Here is a 17,388-nt window from a genome sequence, read left to right as displayed (position 1 = left end):
TGGCCATACATGCCCAAAGAAAGGCACAGGCTCAAAAAAGATCTAAGAAGACCTTAAGTTTACACCTCAGGCTGTTCTTTGGCACAAAGACTACAATGATCAAAAACAGTTTGAGGCTGTTTATGAAAACACCTGACCAACATGGTGAAACCCTGACTCTACTAAATACTAAAAATTAGCTGGGTGGGTGGTGCATGCCTGTAATCCCAGTTCTTTGGGAGGCTGAGGCAGGCGGATCATGAGGTCAGGAGATCGAGACCATCCTGGCTAACACGGTGAAACCCTGTCTCTACTAAAAATACAAAAAAATTAGCAGGGCGTGGTGGTGGGCACCTGTAGTCCCAGCTATTTGGGAGGCTGAGGCAGAAGAATGGCCTGAACCTGGGAGGTGGAGCTTGTAGTGAGCCAAGATCGCGCCACTGCACTCCAGCCTGGGCGACAGAGCGAGACTCTGTCTCAAAAAAAAAAAAAAAAAAAATTATGTGGTGCCAGGCACAGTGGCTCATGCCTGTAATCCCAGCACTTCGGGAGTCTGAGGTGGGGGTATCACTTGAGGTCAGGAGTTTGAGACCAACCTGGCCAACATGGTGAAATCCCCTCTCTATTAAAGATATAAAAAATTAGCCAGGCATGGCTAATTTAATGTAATCCCAGCTACTCAGGAGGCTGAGGCAGAAGAATCGCTTGAATCCGGGGGGTGGAGGTTGCAGTGAGCGGAGATTGCATCAGTGCCCTCCAGCCTGGGCCTGGTCAACAGAGTGAGACCCCGTCTCCAAAAAAAAAAAAAAAAAAACCTAATGGCAGATGTACTAGATAAAGACTTTAAAACAACTTAAAGATCCTTAAAAAACTAAAGGAAGATGTGTAGGAAGTAAAGAAAATGATGTATGAACAAAATAGAAATATCTGTATGGAGACAGAAATTCTAAAAAGAAACCCAAAAGAAATGCTGGCACTGAAAAGTACAAGAAATGCAGTGAAAAATTTACTAAAAGAATTCAAAGCCAGATTTGAGTAGGCAAAAGAAGGAATTAGTGAATTTGAAGATAGGACATTGGAAATTATTGAGTCTGAGAAGCAGAACAAAAAAGATCGCAAAAAAGTAAACGAATCTTCAGGGAGCTGCAGGACACTATCAAGCAGACCAACATATACATTGTGGGAGTTCCTGAAGGAGAAGAAACAGAGAAAGACGAGAGGGAAACTTGAAGAAATAATGGAATAATAATTTTTCCAAATTTGATGAAAGACAAAAGTATAAATATCCAGGAAGCTCAATAAAAACCAAATAAGATGAACTCAAAGAGTCCCACATTGAGAGACATTATAATCAAAATTTCAAAAGCCAAAGTAACAGAAAAAATTTTGAGAGCAGCAAGAAAGAAGTGACTTATCATATGCTGGGGATCTTGAATAAAACTATCAGCAGATTTCTCACCAGAAACTTGGAGGCAGTGGGCTGATACATGAAGGGCTAAAAGGAAGAAAGAAAAAAAAAAAACCTGTCAACCAAGAATTCTATATCTAGCAAAACTATCATTTAAAAGTGAGGGAGAAATTAAGATGTTCTCAGATAAACAAAAGCTAACAAAGTTAATTACCACTAAACCCACCCCATAAGAAATGCTCAAGGGAGGCATGCAGGGTAAAATGAAAGAATACTAGATAGTAACTCAAATACATATGAAGAAATAAAGATTTAAATAAAAATACATAGGCTATTATAAAATCAAGTATTGTTACAACAATGGTTTGTAACTCTACGTTTTTGTGTTCTACAGGATTTAAGAGACTATTCTTTTTAAAAATATTAGTGTAAAAGCACATATTATTGTAATTGGTTCATAACTCAAGATTTTATGTTTTACATAATTTAAGAAACTAATGCATTTTTTAAATTATCAGTTTGTGATTTGGGGCACACAATGTATACAGATATAATTTTGAGACATCAACAATTGAAAAGGGTAGGGATAGAAATGTTAAGAAGCTATTAAAGAGATTTTATATGTTAATGAAGTTAAGCTGATAGAAATTCAAATTAGAGTGTTATAACTTTAGGATGTGAAATGTAATCCCCATGGTAACCACAAAGAAAATAGCTATAGATTATATACAAAGAGAAATGAGAGACTTAAATGTTCCACTACAAAAAAAAAAAAATCAACTGAACACAAAAGAAGATAGTAATACAAGAAATCAGGGGCAAAAAAGCTATTAGTCATAAAGAAAACAAATAGCAAAATGAAAAAAGTAAGTCCCTCCTTATCAGTAATTAATTTAAATGTAAGTGGATTAAATCCTCTAATTGAAAGACAGAGATTGGCAGAATGGATATTTTTAAATCCATATTTAAAAAATATGGATTTTTAAAATCCATATTTAAACTATATGCTATCTACAAAAGACACATTTTAGATCCAAAGACACAAATAGATTGAAATGGAAAGGATGCAAAAAGATATTCTATTCAAATAGTAACCAAGGAAGAGCAGAAGTGGCTATATTAATATCAGGCAAAATAGATTTTCAATTAAAAAGGATGACAAGAGAGATTATATATTAATAGAAAGGGACATTATATATTAATAAAAGTTTTAATACTATAAGACTATATAAATATTACAAACATTAACACACCTAATAAAAGGCTGTCAAAAATACGAAGCAAAAAACTGACAGAATTGAAGGGAGAAATCGTTCTACAATAATACTTGGAAAGGGCTGGGGGCTGTGGCTTATGCCTGTAATCCCAGCACTTTGGGAGACTGAGGTGGGGGGATCACAAGGTCAGGAGATTGAGACCATCCTGGCCAACATGGTGAAACCCCATCTCTACTAAAAATACAAAAATTAGCTGGGTGTGGTGGCACATGACTGTAATCCCAGATACTCAGGAGGCTGAGGCAAGAGAATTGCTTGAACCCAGGAGGTGGTGGCTGCAGTGAGCCGAGATCACGCCACTGCACTCCAGCCTGGCAACAGAGTGAGACTTTGTCTCAAAAAATAATAATAATAAATAATAATAATAGTTGGAGACTGCAATACCCCACTCTCAATAATGGCTGGAATAATCAGACAGACAATAAGCAAGGAAATAGAGGACCTAAACAACACAATCAACAAACTAGATCTAACAGACACGTAAAGAACACTCTACCCAGCAACAATAGCACACACAATTATTATTATTATTATTTGAGGTGGAGTCTCACTCTGTCACCCAGCTGGAGTGCGGCGGTGCAATCTTGGCTCACCGCAACCTCTGCCTCCCAGGTTCAAGTGATTCTCCTGCCTCAGCCTCCCAAGTAGCTAGGATTATAGGTGTGTGCCACCACATCTGGTTTTTTTTTTTTTTTGTACTTTTAGTAGAGATGGGGTTTCACCATGTTAGCCAGGATGGTCTCGATCTCCTGACCTTGTGATCCACCTGCCTCAGCCTCCCAAAGTGCTGGGATTAAAGGCATGAGCCACAGCACCTAGCCCGCACACAAATTTTTAATTGCACACAAGATATTTTCCAGGATAGGACATGTTTTAGGCCACAAATTAACTCTCAACAGATTTAAGAGGCTAGGTGTTATATAGAGTATCTTCTGTGACCACAATGGGATGAAGTTAGACCAACAGCAAAAGTAAAATGAGAAGATTCACAAATTTGTGGAAATTACACAACACACTCTTAAACAACCAATGAATCAAAGAAGAAATCACAAGGGAAATTTGAAAATAATTAGAGATGAATAAAAATAAAAACACGGTGGGGCACAGGGGCTCATCCCTGTAATCCCAGAACTTTGGGAGGCCGAGGCTCGTGGATCACGTCAAGAGATTGAGACCATCCCGGCCAACGTGGTGAAACCCTGTCTCTACTAAAAATACAAAAATTAGCTGGGTGTGGTGGCACACGCCTATAGTCCCAGCTACTCGGGAGGCTGAGGCTGAGGAGAATTGCTTGAACCCGGGAGGCAGAGGTTGCAGTGAGCCAAGATCACACCACTGCACTCCAGGCTGGCCAAAGAGCAAGACTCCATATCAAAAAAAAAAAAAAAAAAAAGAAGGAAGGAAAGAAAAAGAAAAACACAATGTACCAAAATTTCAGGGAAACAGTGAAAGCAGTACTAAGAGCAAAATCTACGGCCATGAACACTTACATTCAAAATAAGAAAGATCTCAAATCAACTACCTAACTTTACAACACAAGGAACTAGAAAAAGAACAAACTAAACCCACAGCTAGCAGATGGACGACAACAATAAAAATGAGAGCAAAATGAGGTAGATAAAAAAAAAAGAATAGAGAAACAATAGAGTTAAACAACAGTTGTTTCTTTGATAAGTTCAACAAAATTGACAAATCTTTAGCTAGATGGACTAAAACAAAAAAAAGAGAATACTCAAATTACTAAAGTCATGAATGAAAGTGAGGACATTACTACTGATTCTACAGAAATAAAAAAAAAGTTTGTAAGAGAATACTATGAACAGTTGTATGTCAAAAAATTGGGTAAGCTAGATAAAATGGGCAAATTCCGAGAAACAGAAAACCTACGAAGATTAAATCACAATTGAAGAGAAAATCTGAATAGACCTATAGCTGGTAAAAAGATTGCTTATTAATCAGAACTCTCCTGACAAAGAAAATCCTCGGACCTGACAGCTTCACTGATGAATTCTATCATTTTTTTTTTTTTTTTCTGAGACGGATTCTCGCTCTGTCTCCCAGGCCGGAGTGCAGTGGTGCGATCTCCGCTCACTGCAAGCTCTGCCTCCCAGGTTCACGCCATTCTCCTGCTTCAGCCTCCGGAGTAGCTGGGACTGCAGTCGCCTGCCACAGCCGGCTAATTATTTGCATTTTTAGTAGAGACGGGGTTTCACCGTGTTAGCCAGGATGGTCTCCATCTCCTGATCTCGGGATCTGCCTACCTCAGCTTCCCAAAGTGCTGGGATTATAGGCATGAGCCACCGCGCCCGGCCGAATTCTATCATAATTTAAAGAACAAACACCAATCCTTCTCAAATTTTTCTAAACAGATGAAAAAGAGGGAATACTTCCTAACTTATTCTATCAGGCCAGGTTACCGTGATAACAAAGCCAGACAAAGACACTGCAAAAGAAAACCACAGACCAATATCCCTTATGCAGAAAACCCATGACAAAATATGAGCAAACCAAATTCAACAGCACATTAAAAAGTCAATTTACCATTATCAAGTGGGATTTATTACTGGAATCCAAAGATAATTCAACATACCAAAATTGAACAAGAAAGAAAATACAACACATTAAAAGAAAGAAGAAAAAAAATCATTATCTCAATCAATGCGGAAAAACCGTTTGACAAAATTCAACATCATTTTATGAGAAAAACATTCAGCAAACTAGAAGTAGAACAAAACTACCTCAACATAATAAAAGCCACATGTGAAAAACCCATAGTGAACATCATACTCAATAGTGAAAGACTGAAACTTTTCCTCTAAGATTGAGAATAAGATAATCATGTCTGCCTTCATGATTTCTATTTAACATAGTACTAGAAGTTCTAGCTAGAGCAATTAGGTGGAATAAATAAATAAAATCCAGATTAGAAAAAAATAAGTTAAAGTGTCTTTGTTCACAGACGATATATTCTTACATGCAGAAAATCCTAAGGATTGAAAAAAAAAAACTGCTGGAACTAATGAATGAATTTGGCAAATTATCAGAATAGAAAGTCAAAATACAAAAATCAGTTGCATTTATATATATCTATAATAAACAACCCAAAAAGAATATTATGGAAACATTTCCATTTATAACAGCATTAAAAAGAAAATATACACTCAGGAATTAAATTAACCAAGGAAATCAAAGATTTGTTCAGCGAAAACTATGGAACATTATGGAAAAAAGTTAAGGAAGACATAGATAAATAGAAACATATTCCATGGTCATGGATGGGAAAACAATATTGTTAAGATGTCAATACTACCCAAAATGATCTACAGATGAAATACAATTTCTATTAAAATGCCAAAGACATTTTTTACAGAAAAATTTTAAAAACCATCTTAAAATTCATATGGAATTTCAAAGGACCCAAAATAGCCAAAACAATTTTGAAAAAGAACAAAGCTGGAGGACTCACACTTTCTGATTTCAAAACTTACTACAAAGCTACTTAAAATGGTGTGGAACTGGGATAAAAATAGACATATAGGTTAATGGAATAGAACACAAAGCCCAGAAGTAAACCCTCACATGTATGATCAAATGATATTTGACAAGTGCGTAGACTATTCAATGGAGAAAGCGCAGTCTTTGCAACAAATGATACTGGGAATACTGGATGTTCACCTGTAAAGGAATGAAGGTGGACCCCTACCTAACACTATGTACAAAAATAAACTTAAAATGGATCAAAGATCTAAATATGAAAACTAAAAGTAAAAACTTAGAAGAAAACATAGGGTGAAAACCACTACATTGAAGATGGCAGTGATTTCTTGGATAAGACATCAAGATAAAGAACAGACAACCAAAGAAAAAATAAACAAATGAGACTTCATGAATTTTTTTTAACTTGTGCATTAACGTATAACATCAAGAGAATAATCAGGCAACCCACAGAATGGGGGAAGATATTTGCAAAGCATATATCTAGTAAGAAATCAATATCCAGAATGTATACAGAACTCCTAAAATTCAACCACAAAAAACCAACCAACCAACCAACTCAATTTAAAAATTAACAAAGGAGGCTGGGTGTGGTGGCTCACGCCTGTAATCCCAGCGCTTTGGAAGGGTGAGGCGGGTGGATCACGAGGTCAGGAGATCGAGACCATCCTGGCTAACACGGTGAAACCCTGTCTCTATTAAAAATACAAAAAAATTAGCCAGGCGTGGTGGCGGGTGCCTGTAGTCCCAGCTACTCGGGAGGCTGAGGCAGGAGAATTGCGTGAACCCGGGAGGTGGAGCTTACAGTGAGCTGAGATCGTACCACTGTACTCCAGCCTGGGCAACAGAGCGAGACTCCGTCTCAAAAAAAAAAAAAAAAAAAATTGACAAAGGACTTGAATAGACATTTCTCCCAAGAAGAGATACAAATGGCCAATAAACACATGAGAAGATGTTCAACATCACTAATAATTAAAGATATGCAAATCAAAACTACAACTAGATACCACCACACACCACTTGGGATGGCTCCTATCAAGAAACAGAAAATAAATGATGATGAAGATGTGGAGAAATTGCAACCTTTGTGCACTGTTGGTGGGAATGTAAAATGATACAGCCACCATGGAAAACAGTATGTCAGTGCATCAAAAATTTGAAGAACTACTATATGATCCAGTAATTCCACTATCATATATATACACAAAAGAATTGAAAGCAGAATCTTAAAGACATTTGTATACCAATATTCATAGAAGTATTATTCATAGTAGCCATAACACGGAAGCAACCCAAGTGATTATGACAGATGAATGGATAGGCAATGTGGTATATATGTATAATGAAATATTATTCAGCCTTAATATGTAAAGAATTTCTGGTATACACTACAGCATGGATGAAGCTTGAAGACATTTTGCAAAGTGAAATAAGCTAGTCACAAAAAGACAAACATTATATGATTCCACTTATATGAGGTACCTAAGCAAAATCATAGAGACAAAAAGTAGAATGCACTTTGATAGGGGATGTGGGGAGGGAGGAAATGAGGAGTTACTGTCCATTGGGTATAGAATGTCAGTTTTACAAGATGAAGAGTAATGGAGATGGATGGTAGTAATGGTTGCACAACATTTTGAATGTACTTAATGCCACTGAACTGGTTAAATACACTTAAAATGGGTAAGAATACATTTTACATTGTGTGTATTTTACCACAATAAACAAAATTGGGGTGAAAAGTTTGTGTGGAGGGATGCTCTTGCCCTCAGGCTATCAGGGAAGCAAGCTAGCAAATGAATCCCTCCAAGGCAGTGGTTAAATGTCCCCAGAAGTGTAGGGGCACAGGAAAGGGTCTCTGAGCAGGCTTTGAGGACTGGTGATGTCATTGTGGAGAAGATGATGCCTGAAGACATAGGAAAGGGTAACCAATGTGAGACCAAAGCTGAGAACTTGGAGTGTGCACCGCGACCCACTGTTGCCTGAACACAGGGTGCAAAAGAACACCCAGACAGGACAGTAGCCAAACATCCTTTGCTATGCCAAAGAGTGGTTTTTTATTATCAAAAAATTTTATCAGAGGAATGACAATCATTTTTGTACTTTGGATCAATGGAACTGTGTGAAAAATGGTCTGGATGATGGAATGATCGAAGATATAAAACCAGATCTATCTGCCTGATGCAAAAACCAGAAAGGCCTGACCCAAAGGCCTGAAACAGTGGTATGCTGGCAACAGGTTAGCACCAGTTCTGGGAAAAAAGAGAAGATTAAAGACCCCAAATTGTAGCATTTGCCAATTCTCATAGTGTAAATACTCCCACCTCAGCCAATTTCAAACTGCCAATGTGACATACAATGGCAAGCAAAATTACTGAATATGTAATCATTGAGTCTCCAGAGCTGGAAAGAGACTGAACCTGCCTTGGTGCACTGTGACCTCAAGGAGATGAGGACGAGGAGAAAAACCAAGAGAGAATGGTCCCTTGGGAAGTGAGAGAGGAGAGGATCTTAAAAAAGAGACAGTGTTGAAAGGCCACAATGCTGCAGAGAAGTTAAGTAACGAGTAAGGACTAAACAGAACTTTTGGATTTTGCGATTTAGGATGTCACTTCCTGCCCCTCGTGTGGAGTACCGGGGGCTGAAGTCTGTCGACAAGCAGTAAAGTGCTGGCAGAGGAAGAAAGAAACTGTGTGAGCCTTCCAGGAAGAGCCGACAGATAGTCACACTGTGTCTTGCTTATAAAACCCCTGATTCGAAGGAAAGCCAAGGAGGTAACAGTCTGAAGGTCTACACTGAAAGAAACCCTTCGTCTTCTGCTTTTATAATATTTACAGTTCTTAGAAATATTCCACCTACCTTCCTGTTGAGACGTGAAGCCAGCTGAACTTCCTGGGTCGAGTGGGGACTTGGGAAACTTTCCTGTTTCACAAGAGGTTTGTAAAACGCACCCATCAGGAACTTTCCTGCCTTACAAGAGGTTTGTAAAACGCACCAATCAGTACTCTGTAAAATGCACCAATCAGTGCTCTGTAAAATGCACCAGTCAGCACTCTGTAAAATGCACCAATCAGCAGGATTCTAAAAGTAGCCAATCGCAGGAGGATTGAAAAAAGGGCACTCTGATACGACGGAAATCGAACATGGGGGAGAGGATAAATAAAGGAGTAAAAGCTGGCCATGGCAGCCAGCAGCGGCAACCCGCTCAGGTCCCCTTCCACGCTGTGGAAGCTTTGTTCTTTCCCTCTTCACAATAAACCTTGCCACCGCTCACTCTTTGAGAGCTGTTAAACTCACCACGAAGGTCCGCGGCTTCATTCTTGAAGTCAGCCAAGACCGCTAACCCACCGGCAGGAACCAACTCCGGAAGCAATGTGATGCATGACAAGGTACGTTAAAAAAAAAAAAAAAGTACGTGAAACAAACCAAAAGCCTTTAGCTCAGGAGTCATGCAGCCTTTACCAGCAGTTCTTTCCTTAACATGTCATGACCTCAGAGAAGTTTCCTTAGCTCCGCTGGATGGGCAGGGAGAAACCGCCTGAGATGCGCGGGAAGCAGCCTCTGGGGATCAGAGTTGCTCTCGTGTGTGTGTTGCCCTCGTGTGGACGGGTGGGCTTCACCCCACCCTGAGGACAGAGGGAACCAGAGCTTGAAGAGGGTGAGGGATTCCTGCAAGTCACACGTAAAAAGCAAAAAAGGCTCCGAGGCGGGTGGGTTCTCTGAGCTCAGGAGTTCAAGACCAGCCTGACCAATATGGTGAAACCCTGTCTCTACTAAAAATACAAAGATTAGCTGGGTGTGGTGGCTCATGCCTGTAATCCCAGCACTTCAGGAGGCCGAGGTGGGTGGATCATCTGAGGTCAGGAGTCCGAGACCAGCCAGACCAACATAGTGAAACCCCGTCTCTACTACAAATACAACAAATAGCTGGGCGTGGTGGCATGTGGCTGTAGTCCCAACTACTCAGGAGGCTGAGACAGGAGAATCGCTTGAACCTGGGAGGCGGAGGTTGCAGAGCTGAGATCATGCCACTGCACTCCCGCCTGGATGACAGAGTGAGATTCCATCCCCACCCCCCACCCCCCACCCCCCGCAAAAAAAAATCAAAAGGCAGCACGGAGGCTTCGTTCCAAGATTTTTGACCCATGCCCAGGGTGCCTCCACTTTACTGCCATCAAAACAATGAAAATCAAGTGAGACAAAAGGATAGCGATTTGGAGGAAAATGCTTTAAAATTTTACAAAGCAATGTTACATTATTTGGTACCCAGTTTTTTAAAGATGAATAACCTAATGCTAAAAGAGTTAAAGCCACAACCTGCTCAGATCTGAATGGTTGTGTTCCCTCAGAATTCCTGTGTTGAAACCTAACCCCCAAGGTAATGGAATCAGGAGGTGAGGCCTTTGGGAGGTGCTTAGGTCCTGAGGGTGGAGCCCTGTGAATGGGACTAGTGTCCTTACAAGGAGGCTTCAGAGAGCTCCCTCCCTCTGTGAGGACACAATGAGAAGCTGCTGTGTTATCAACCAAGAAGTGGGCCCTCACCAGGCACCAAATCTTCCCACACCTCAAAGTTAGACTTCCCAGCTTTCAGAGCTGTGAGAAATAAATTTCTGCTGTTTATACGCCTCTAGGTTTATGGCATTTTGTTACAGCAGCTGGAACAGACTGAAACATTCCAGGCAGTACTGCGAGTGAACGATGGGGAACCATGTTATTCACATTACCACCGAAGAGGACTGAACTAGTTCATTTCCACTGGTGCCTCTTCAACCCAGCAACACTTATTTTATGGGAGGGAAAGTATAGCCACATAAAAATCGACAGATGGGCTTTGATTTTAGCAGTAGGAAGGTGGGTCTCCTAAGTTTTCACTTTTGTTTCACGCAGCTTTATTTTCACATCTGAGAGCCATTTAATTTGATTGCAGTTAAGCTAATTTCAAATTACAGACATGAGCAGGGTCTCACTTATTTTCGACTAAATAGGAGACTCGATTACAAGAAGCATTGTGGGCATCTGGTCGTGTGGCTGGTTTTCCTCAGCAAATGCGGAAAAACCATAGCAACCATCAGCACACAGTGAAACAGCGTCACCAAGTAGCTCGGCCAGTTGGTGGAAAGGCACTGTGTTGGGGTCAGGGCCCTGGAAGGGTGCATGGGGGAGGCCGGAGGGAGTAGCCATTGCCCTCCAGGCTTTGTCAGGTGGGGCAATGTATTAGTTCTCCATGGCTGCATAACAAATGCCACCAAATTAGCAACTGAAAACAACAGCCAATCACCATGTCCCAGTTTGCAAATCAGAAGCTCAAGCAGGCTCTGGATCTCACAAACCTCAATCTAGGCATCCCCGGGACTGGGCTCTGACCTGGAAGCTCTGAGCAGAATCTGCTTCTGAGCTCATTCAAGTCGGTGACAGAACTTCATTCCTTGAGTTTGCAGAACAGAGACCTGTGCTTCCTTATGGGCTGCCAGAGGTGGCCTAGAGGCCACCCTCATTCCTTGATATGTCCCACCCTCTCCTCAACCCCCTCTGAATCCCTCCTATACTTGGATTCTTACTTCCTCTTCTGCTACCAGCTGGAGAAAACTTTCTGTTTGCAAAGGGCTTACCTGATTGGGTCAGGACCACCCACATATATCCCACATCACATTGTTAAGTTCAACTGATGTGGGATAATAATTACAACCAGGAAATCCTTCGTGGCAGCCCCAAATTAGTGCCCGATTGAATAACCAGGGATGGAATCCTAGGGGTCATCTTTAGAATTATGCTGATTAGAAAGAGTTCAGACAGCCCCTGGGAGACTATGATGAACACAAAAGGGTATAAGACTGGGAGCTACAATCTACATGCTAATCATTTCTCTTCCAGGAAACCAAGGAAGCCATCCTGGGGGAGGAGGCTCTGATGTGGGCCTGCAAGAACCAGGGCACTTGAGGTACAGGTGAGGAACATGGCAGGTGTATCAGGTGAGAGGAGGAAAAGGAGGTATCGAGGCCAGGGAGCACTGTACGTGGTGGCCGGTGGACAAGAAAGTTATGATAGGCCTGTGAGGGAGCAAACTCACACTAGTCAAGCCAATTGAGGGAAGAGGTGACCACGTAAGTAACAGTTAAGTAATAATGAGTAATGCTTCCTCTACTACTTGTCATGTAAAAGGTCCATGCACCCTTGCTCCTCACACTGAACTTCTAATTAACAAAACGAGGCAGGAAGCTTCCAGATCTCATTTTCATGGGCGAATTTTGTGATAGTGTTATAGCGTTAAAATGCATTATCCTGGCCGGGCATGATGGCTGACGCCTGTAATCCCAGCATTTTGGGAGGCCAAAGCGGATGGAACAAGAAGTCAGGAGTTCAAGACCAGCCTGGCCAAGATGGTGAAACCCTGTCTCTACTAAAAATACAAAAAAATTAGCTGGGTGTGGTGGTGGGCGCCTGTAATCCCAGCTACTCCAGAGGCCAAGACACAGAATTGCTTGAACCCAGGAGGCAGAGGTTGCAGTGAGCTAAGATCACACCACTGCACTCCAGCCTGAGTGACAGAGGGAGAGTCTGTCTCAAAAAAAAAAATGCATTATCCTTGTGTTAGTCTGCTTGGCTGCCATAAGAAAGGAACACAGACTGGGGGCTTACACAATAGATGTGTATTCTGTCAGGATTCTGGAGGCTGGAAGGCTGAGATCAAGGGTGGTTCCTTCTGAGGCTGTGAGGGAGAAGCTGCTCCAGGGCTCTGCCTGGCTTCTGGATTTTGCTGGTATCTTTGGTGTTCTTGGCTGGTAGAGGTGTCACGCTGATCTCTGCCATCATCTTCACATCGCATTCTCCCTGTGTGTGTGTCTGTCCCCATATCTTTCCTCTTTTTTTTTTTTTTTTTGATACGGAGTCTCGCTGTGTCGCCCAGGCTGGAATGCAGTGGCACAATCTTGGCTCACTGCAACCTCCGCCTCCTGGGTTCAAGCGATTCTCCTGCCTCAGCCTCCCAAGTAGCTGGGACCACAGGCGCCCGCCACCATGCCCAGCTAATTTTGGTATTTTTAGAAGGGATGGGGTTTCACCATCTTGGCCAGGATCGTCTCTAACTCCTGACTTCATGATCCACCCGCCTTGGCCTCCGAAAGTGCTGGGATTACAGGCGTGAGCCACCGCGCCCAGCCAAATCTTTCCTTTTTATAAGGACATCAGTCACACTGTATTAGGGGCCACCCTGCCCCAGTATGACCTCATCTTAACAAGTTACATTTGCGACGGCCCTGTTTCCAAATAAGGCCACATTCTGAGGTCCTGGAGTTTAAGCCTTCAATGTATGACTTTGTGGAGGACACAATTCCCCCCATGACAGTCTTCTGTGCTCTACTCTAGAGACAGCCCTCATCTTTTGAGGGTAAGGATGAGATAACTTATACTTTATTTGTATAAATAACGTGAGGCAAATTCTAGGTAGAGCCTGACCTCTTTCTTCTCAAAGCGTGGTCCTCAGACAAGCGGCATCGGATCACCTAGCAGCTTGTTGGAAATGCAGAGTCTCAGGCCCCACACCAGGCCCACGGAGTCAGAATCTTCATTTTAACAAAATTCCCAGAAAATTTTTTTTGTGCATACAAATTTGAAAGGCAGTATTTAGTACACTTTCTCAGAAATGGTTGGAAAATTCTTCAGGGCAAAACCATAATGTCAACCTCACACCACCATTTAAAGAATTTAAAATAAGTTTTTGAACTAGTACAGCCACTCTAGAGAACAGTATGGAGGTTCCTCAAAAAACTACAAATAGAACTACCATATGATCCACCAATCCCACTGCTGGGCGTTTATCCAGAGGAAAGGAAATCACGATATCGAAGATACATCTGCACCCCATGTCTATCTCAGCACTGTTCACCACAGCCAAGGTATGTAATCAACCCAGGTGTCCAACCCCAGATGAATGGGGAAAGAAAATGGGGCATATGCATTATGAAATACTATTCAGCCATAAAAAAGAATAAAATCCTGTCATTTGCAGCAATATGGATAGGACTAGAGGACATTATGTTAAGCGAAATAAGCCAGGAACAGAAAGTAAAACATTGCATGTTCTCACTCATCTGTGGAAGCTAAAAAAAGTTGATCTCATAGAAGTAAAAAGTAGAACAGAAGATGCTAGAGGCTGAGAAGGGTAGGGAAAAAGGAGGAAAGGAAAAGATTTGTTAAAGGATAAACATTTACAGCTAGTTGGAAGGAATCAGTTCTAGTGTCCTACAGCACTAAGGGTTGACTGGAGTTAACAATAATATATTACAGAGTTTCCAATAGCTAGAAGGAGGGTGTTGAATGTTCCCAATACAAATGGTAAATGTTTGAGACAATGGAAGTGCTAATTATCCTGATCTGATCACCATATATTATATGTATTGAAACATCACCATGTACCCCTTAAATATGTATAATTATTATATGTCAATAATCTTTTTGTTTTAAATAACTGTTTTTATAAGTAAAAAATGAAAAGAAAAAATTTTAATACATTCTTGAGAGAGGTGGCTCAAAAACTTCTACTTAGTATACTTCTGTAAAAGAGATAGGTGGGACTCTGAAATAAACTAAAATCGTTGGTTATTTTTTTAAAGATAACAACCAATTGAAGATAGAAGAGAGTTTTTGTTTCATTTTGTTTTTTGAGACGGAGTTTCCCTCTTGTTGACCAGGTTGGAATGCAGTAGTGTGATCTCGGCTCACTGCAACCTCCGCCTCCCAGGTTCAAGCGATTCTCCTGCCTCAGCCTCCCTAGTAGCTGGGATTACAGGCAGGCACCACCACCATGCCCGGCTAATTTTGTATTTTTAGTAGAGACAGGATTTCTCCATGTTGGTCAGTCTGGTCTCGAACTCCTGACCTCAGGTGATCCGCCCACCTCGGCCTCCCAAAGTGTTGGGATTGGCGTGAGCCACCGCGCCTGGCCCCAAGAAGAGAGTTTTGCAAGTTTATTTAAGTTGTGTAGATTGGAAGCTAGACAACATTCATTCACTTGACAAACCTTCATGGAGCCGCACGGTGTACCAGGTTCTCCAGTGAGCAGAACACCCACTGGAATCCTGACCAGACTACTTCCTGGGGTTATTAACCTCTTCAAGCCTCAGCTTTCTTTTCCGTAAAATGGCTGCAGTAATTGAGCTGCCCTCAGAGGTTTCAGGGATTCAACAAGGTCATTGGGGGGGCTTATCATAGTGCCTGGTGCAGGTCGAGTGCCAAATAAATGCTATCCTCATGCTGTTCCTGCAGGTTGCTCTTTGAGTCCCTCTGTCTCGACTTGGAGGTGGGGGGGTAGGGAATAAGTGACATGCACACAGAAGTGGACATCAGGTGGGATCCGTCCAGGGAAGGTGGGCTCTTCCTGAGTCAGTGTGAGCATCTGGGCAGGTCCCTGACTTTACTGCACAATCCCAGGGAATGGCAGCCCTGCCCTAGGCCACCAGTGAGGAGTGCCATACATCCTGCAAACCTGCAGTCTTATGCTGAAACCTGCAGCAGGCTGGGCTCCACCCCTCCTTCCTGGCCTCGCTGTGGGAAGTTGGAGTTCGGGAGGCAATGTAAGGAGATAGAGGCATGGTGCGCTTTTTTCTTTGCCTCCTCTATTTGGTTTTTGATGATTGGTCTTTTTCATTTAATTTTGAGCCCAAATTGCGGTTTTAAATTAGTGTGTTTCTTTGTATAAGAGAGGATTGTGAGAAGGAAAAGGCCAGCCTAGGCCAGGCCATCTGCCCTCCTGGCTAGCCAACCAGCTAGAAACACGGCCGTCTTGCCTACCTGAGGACCTACAGATGATGGAAGCTAACTCCTAACTTCCAGGACCTTTTGTGGGTTCTTAGATTCCAATCCCTGGGGACTTCTTTCATTGCAATTCACGATTGTGTTCCACAGGTATCCCCATGGTGACCCCTCCCAGTGGTTCCCAGAGCTGCTCCTGCTCCCACCTCAGGTCCAGGAGACATGTCAGCATTGTCAACATCCTGCTTGTCCCCAGTAACTGGAGGGTAGGGCTGGGCCAGGTGCCACTCACCTCCTGCTTCTGCCACCACAGCCTTTAGCCATTCTTGCTGCCTCTAGGATTCTCAGGCAGAGGTGTCTCCAGCCCCAACCTTCCAGAGAGGACTTGGAAGGCCTCTTCCTAGCTCTACAACAGGAGGTAGGCAGGCACAGACACCTTCCAGGTGAGTGTATGGGAAGAGGTGGGATTGAGCCACTCCACAGCCTCAAGGTTACCCCTCCAGTCCTCTTGGTTGGCTTCTCTCTCCCTTCCTTTCTCATTCTCCTGTGTTTTGTTCTCCAAGTGATGAGAGTGGAAAATGTGTAAGGATAATTTTCTTTTGTAAATTCTTCATGAAATGATCCGTCACATCCCTTTGCACTCACACCTTGACTGTATTTGGTGCTTAGAGGAAAATTCCATTTCAGCACCCTATTCCAAGCATTTTTGTGTAAGCAAACCCAACCAAGACAACTTTGAACAGAGGGAAGGCAGACACTGAGCCACATAGAGGGAAACTGAGGTTGCAGGTTAGCCTGCACTGGACAGTATCCAAAGGGCTACAGCAAACTGACACACTAGGACCCGAGTGGGAGAACACAGCTCACAGTGGTGGGCAGGACTCTGCAAGTCCAGGAACCAGGGAGGCAGGGCATCAGGCCCCACCTGCAAGATCAAGTTAAAGGGAGAACATGCACCTCAACAGGTGAGGAGGAAGACCCCAGTCATGGTGACATGGAACTGCCAGGGCTTTGTTAAAGGCTGTTCCTGGAAGACACGCACCTCTGAAGACCCATCCACACATCTCATTCCAGGCCCGGGGTGTGTGCAGCCCATCCTAAACTTTTTGCAGCCACTTGAGTTGCCTTTGGGCAGCAGTTCTCCATCCTGGCTGAGTCATGGAATCCCCTGGGCAGCTTTTTAAAAATGCTACCACTTCCCTTTCCCCACACCTAAGGATTTTTATTTTATTGGTTTGTGTCTTAATCAGTTCCAGCTGATATAGCAAAATATCTGAGACTGGGTAACTTATAAACAATAGAAATTTATTTCTCACAGTTCTGGACTCTGGGAAGTCCAGGATTTAAGGCAGCTGCAGTTTCAATTGTTTGGTGAAGGCCCACTTTCTGGTTCATAGACAGCACCTTCTTTCCATCATCTCACATAGTAGAAAGGGCAAGAGAACTCTCTGGGTGCTCTTTTATAAGGGCAGTAATCCCATT

General features: G+C 42.4%; 2 annotated features.

The window, feature by feature from the left end:
* Positions 10,359-11,143: an enhancer, noted in NCBI's record as "OCT4-NANOG-H3K27ac hESC enhancer chr15:26488201-26488985 (GRCh37/hg19 assembly coordinates)". NCBI's record gives its function as "activates a minimal SCP1, AML or CMV promoter by ChIP-STARR-seq in naive H9 embryonic stem cells {active_cell/tissue: H9 hESC(naive)}" and the evidence as "EXISTENCE:reporter gene assay evidence [ECO:0000049][PMID:30033119]".
* Positions 12,898-13,838: an enhancer, noted in NCBI's record as "H3K27ac hESC enhancer chr15:26485506-26486446 (GRCh37/hg19 assembly coordinates)". NCBI's record gives its function as "activates a minimal SCP1, AML or CMV promoter by ChIP-STARR-seq in naive H9 embryonic stem cells {active_cell/tissue: H9 hESC(naive)}" and the evidence as "EXISTENCE:reporter gene assay evidence [ECO:0000049][PMID:30033119]".

This window comes from Homo sapiens, chromosome 15, assembly GCF_000001405.40.
Source record: "Homo sapiens chromosome 15, GRCh38.p14 Primary Assembly".
Taxonomy (NCBI): Eukaryota; Metazoa; Chordata; class Mammalia; order Primates; family Hominidae; genus Homo; species Homo sapiens.
The sequence above is the reverse complement of the archived record's forward strand: the minus strand, read 5'-3'. Positions and strand labels throughout refer to the sequence as shown.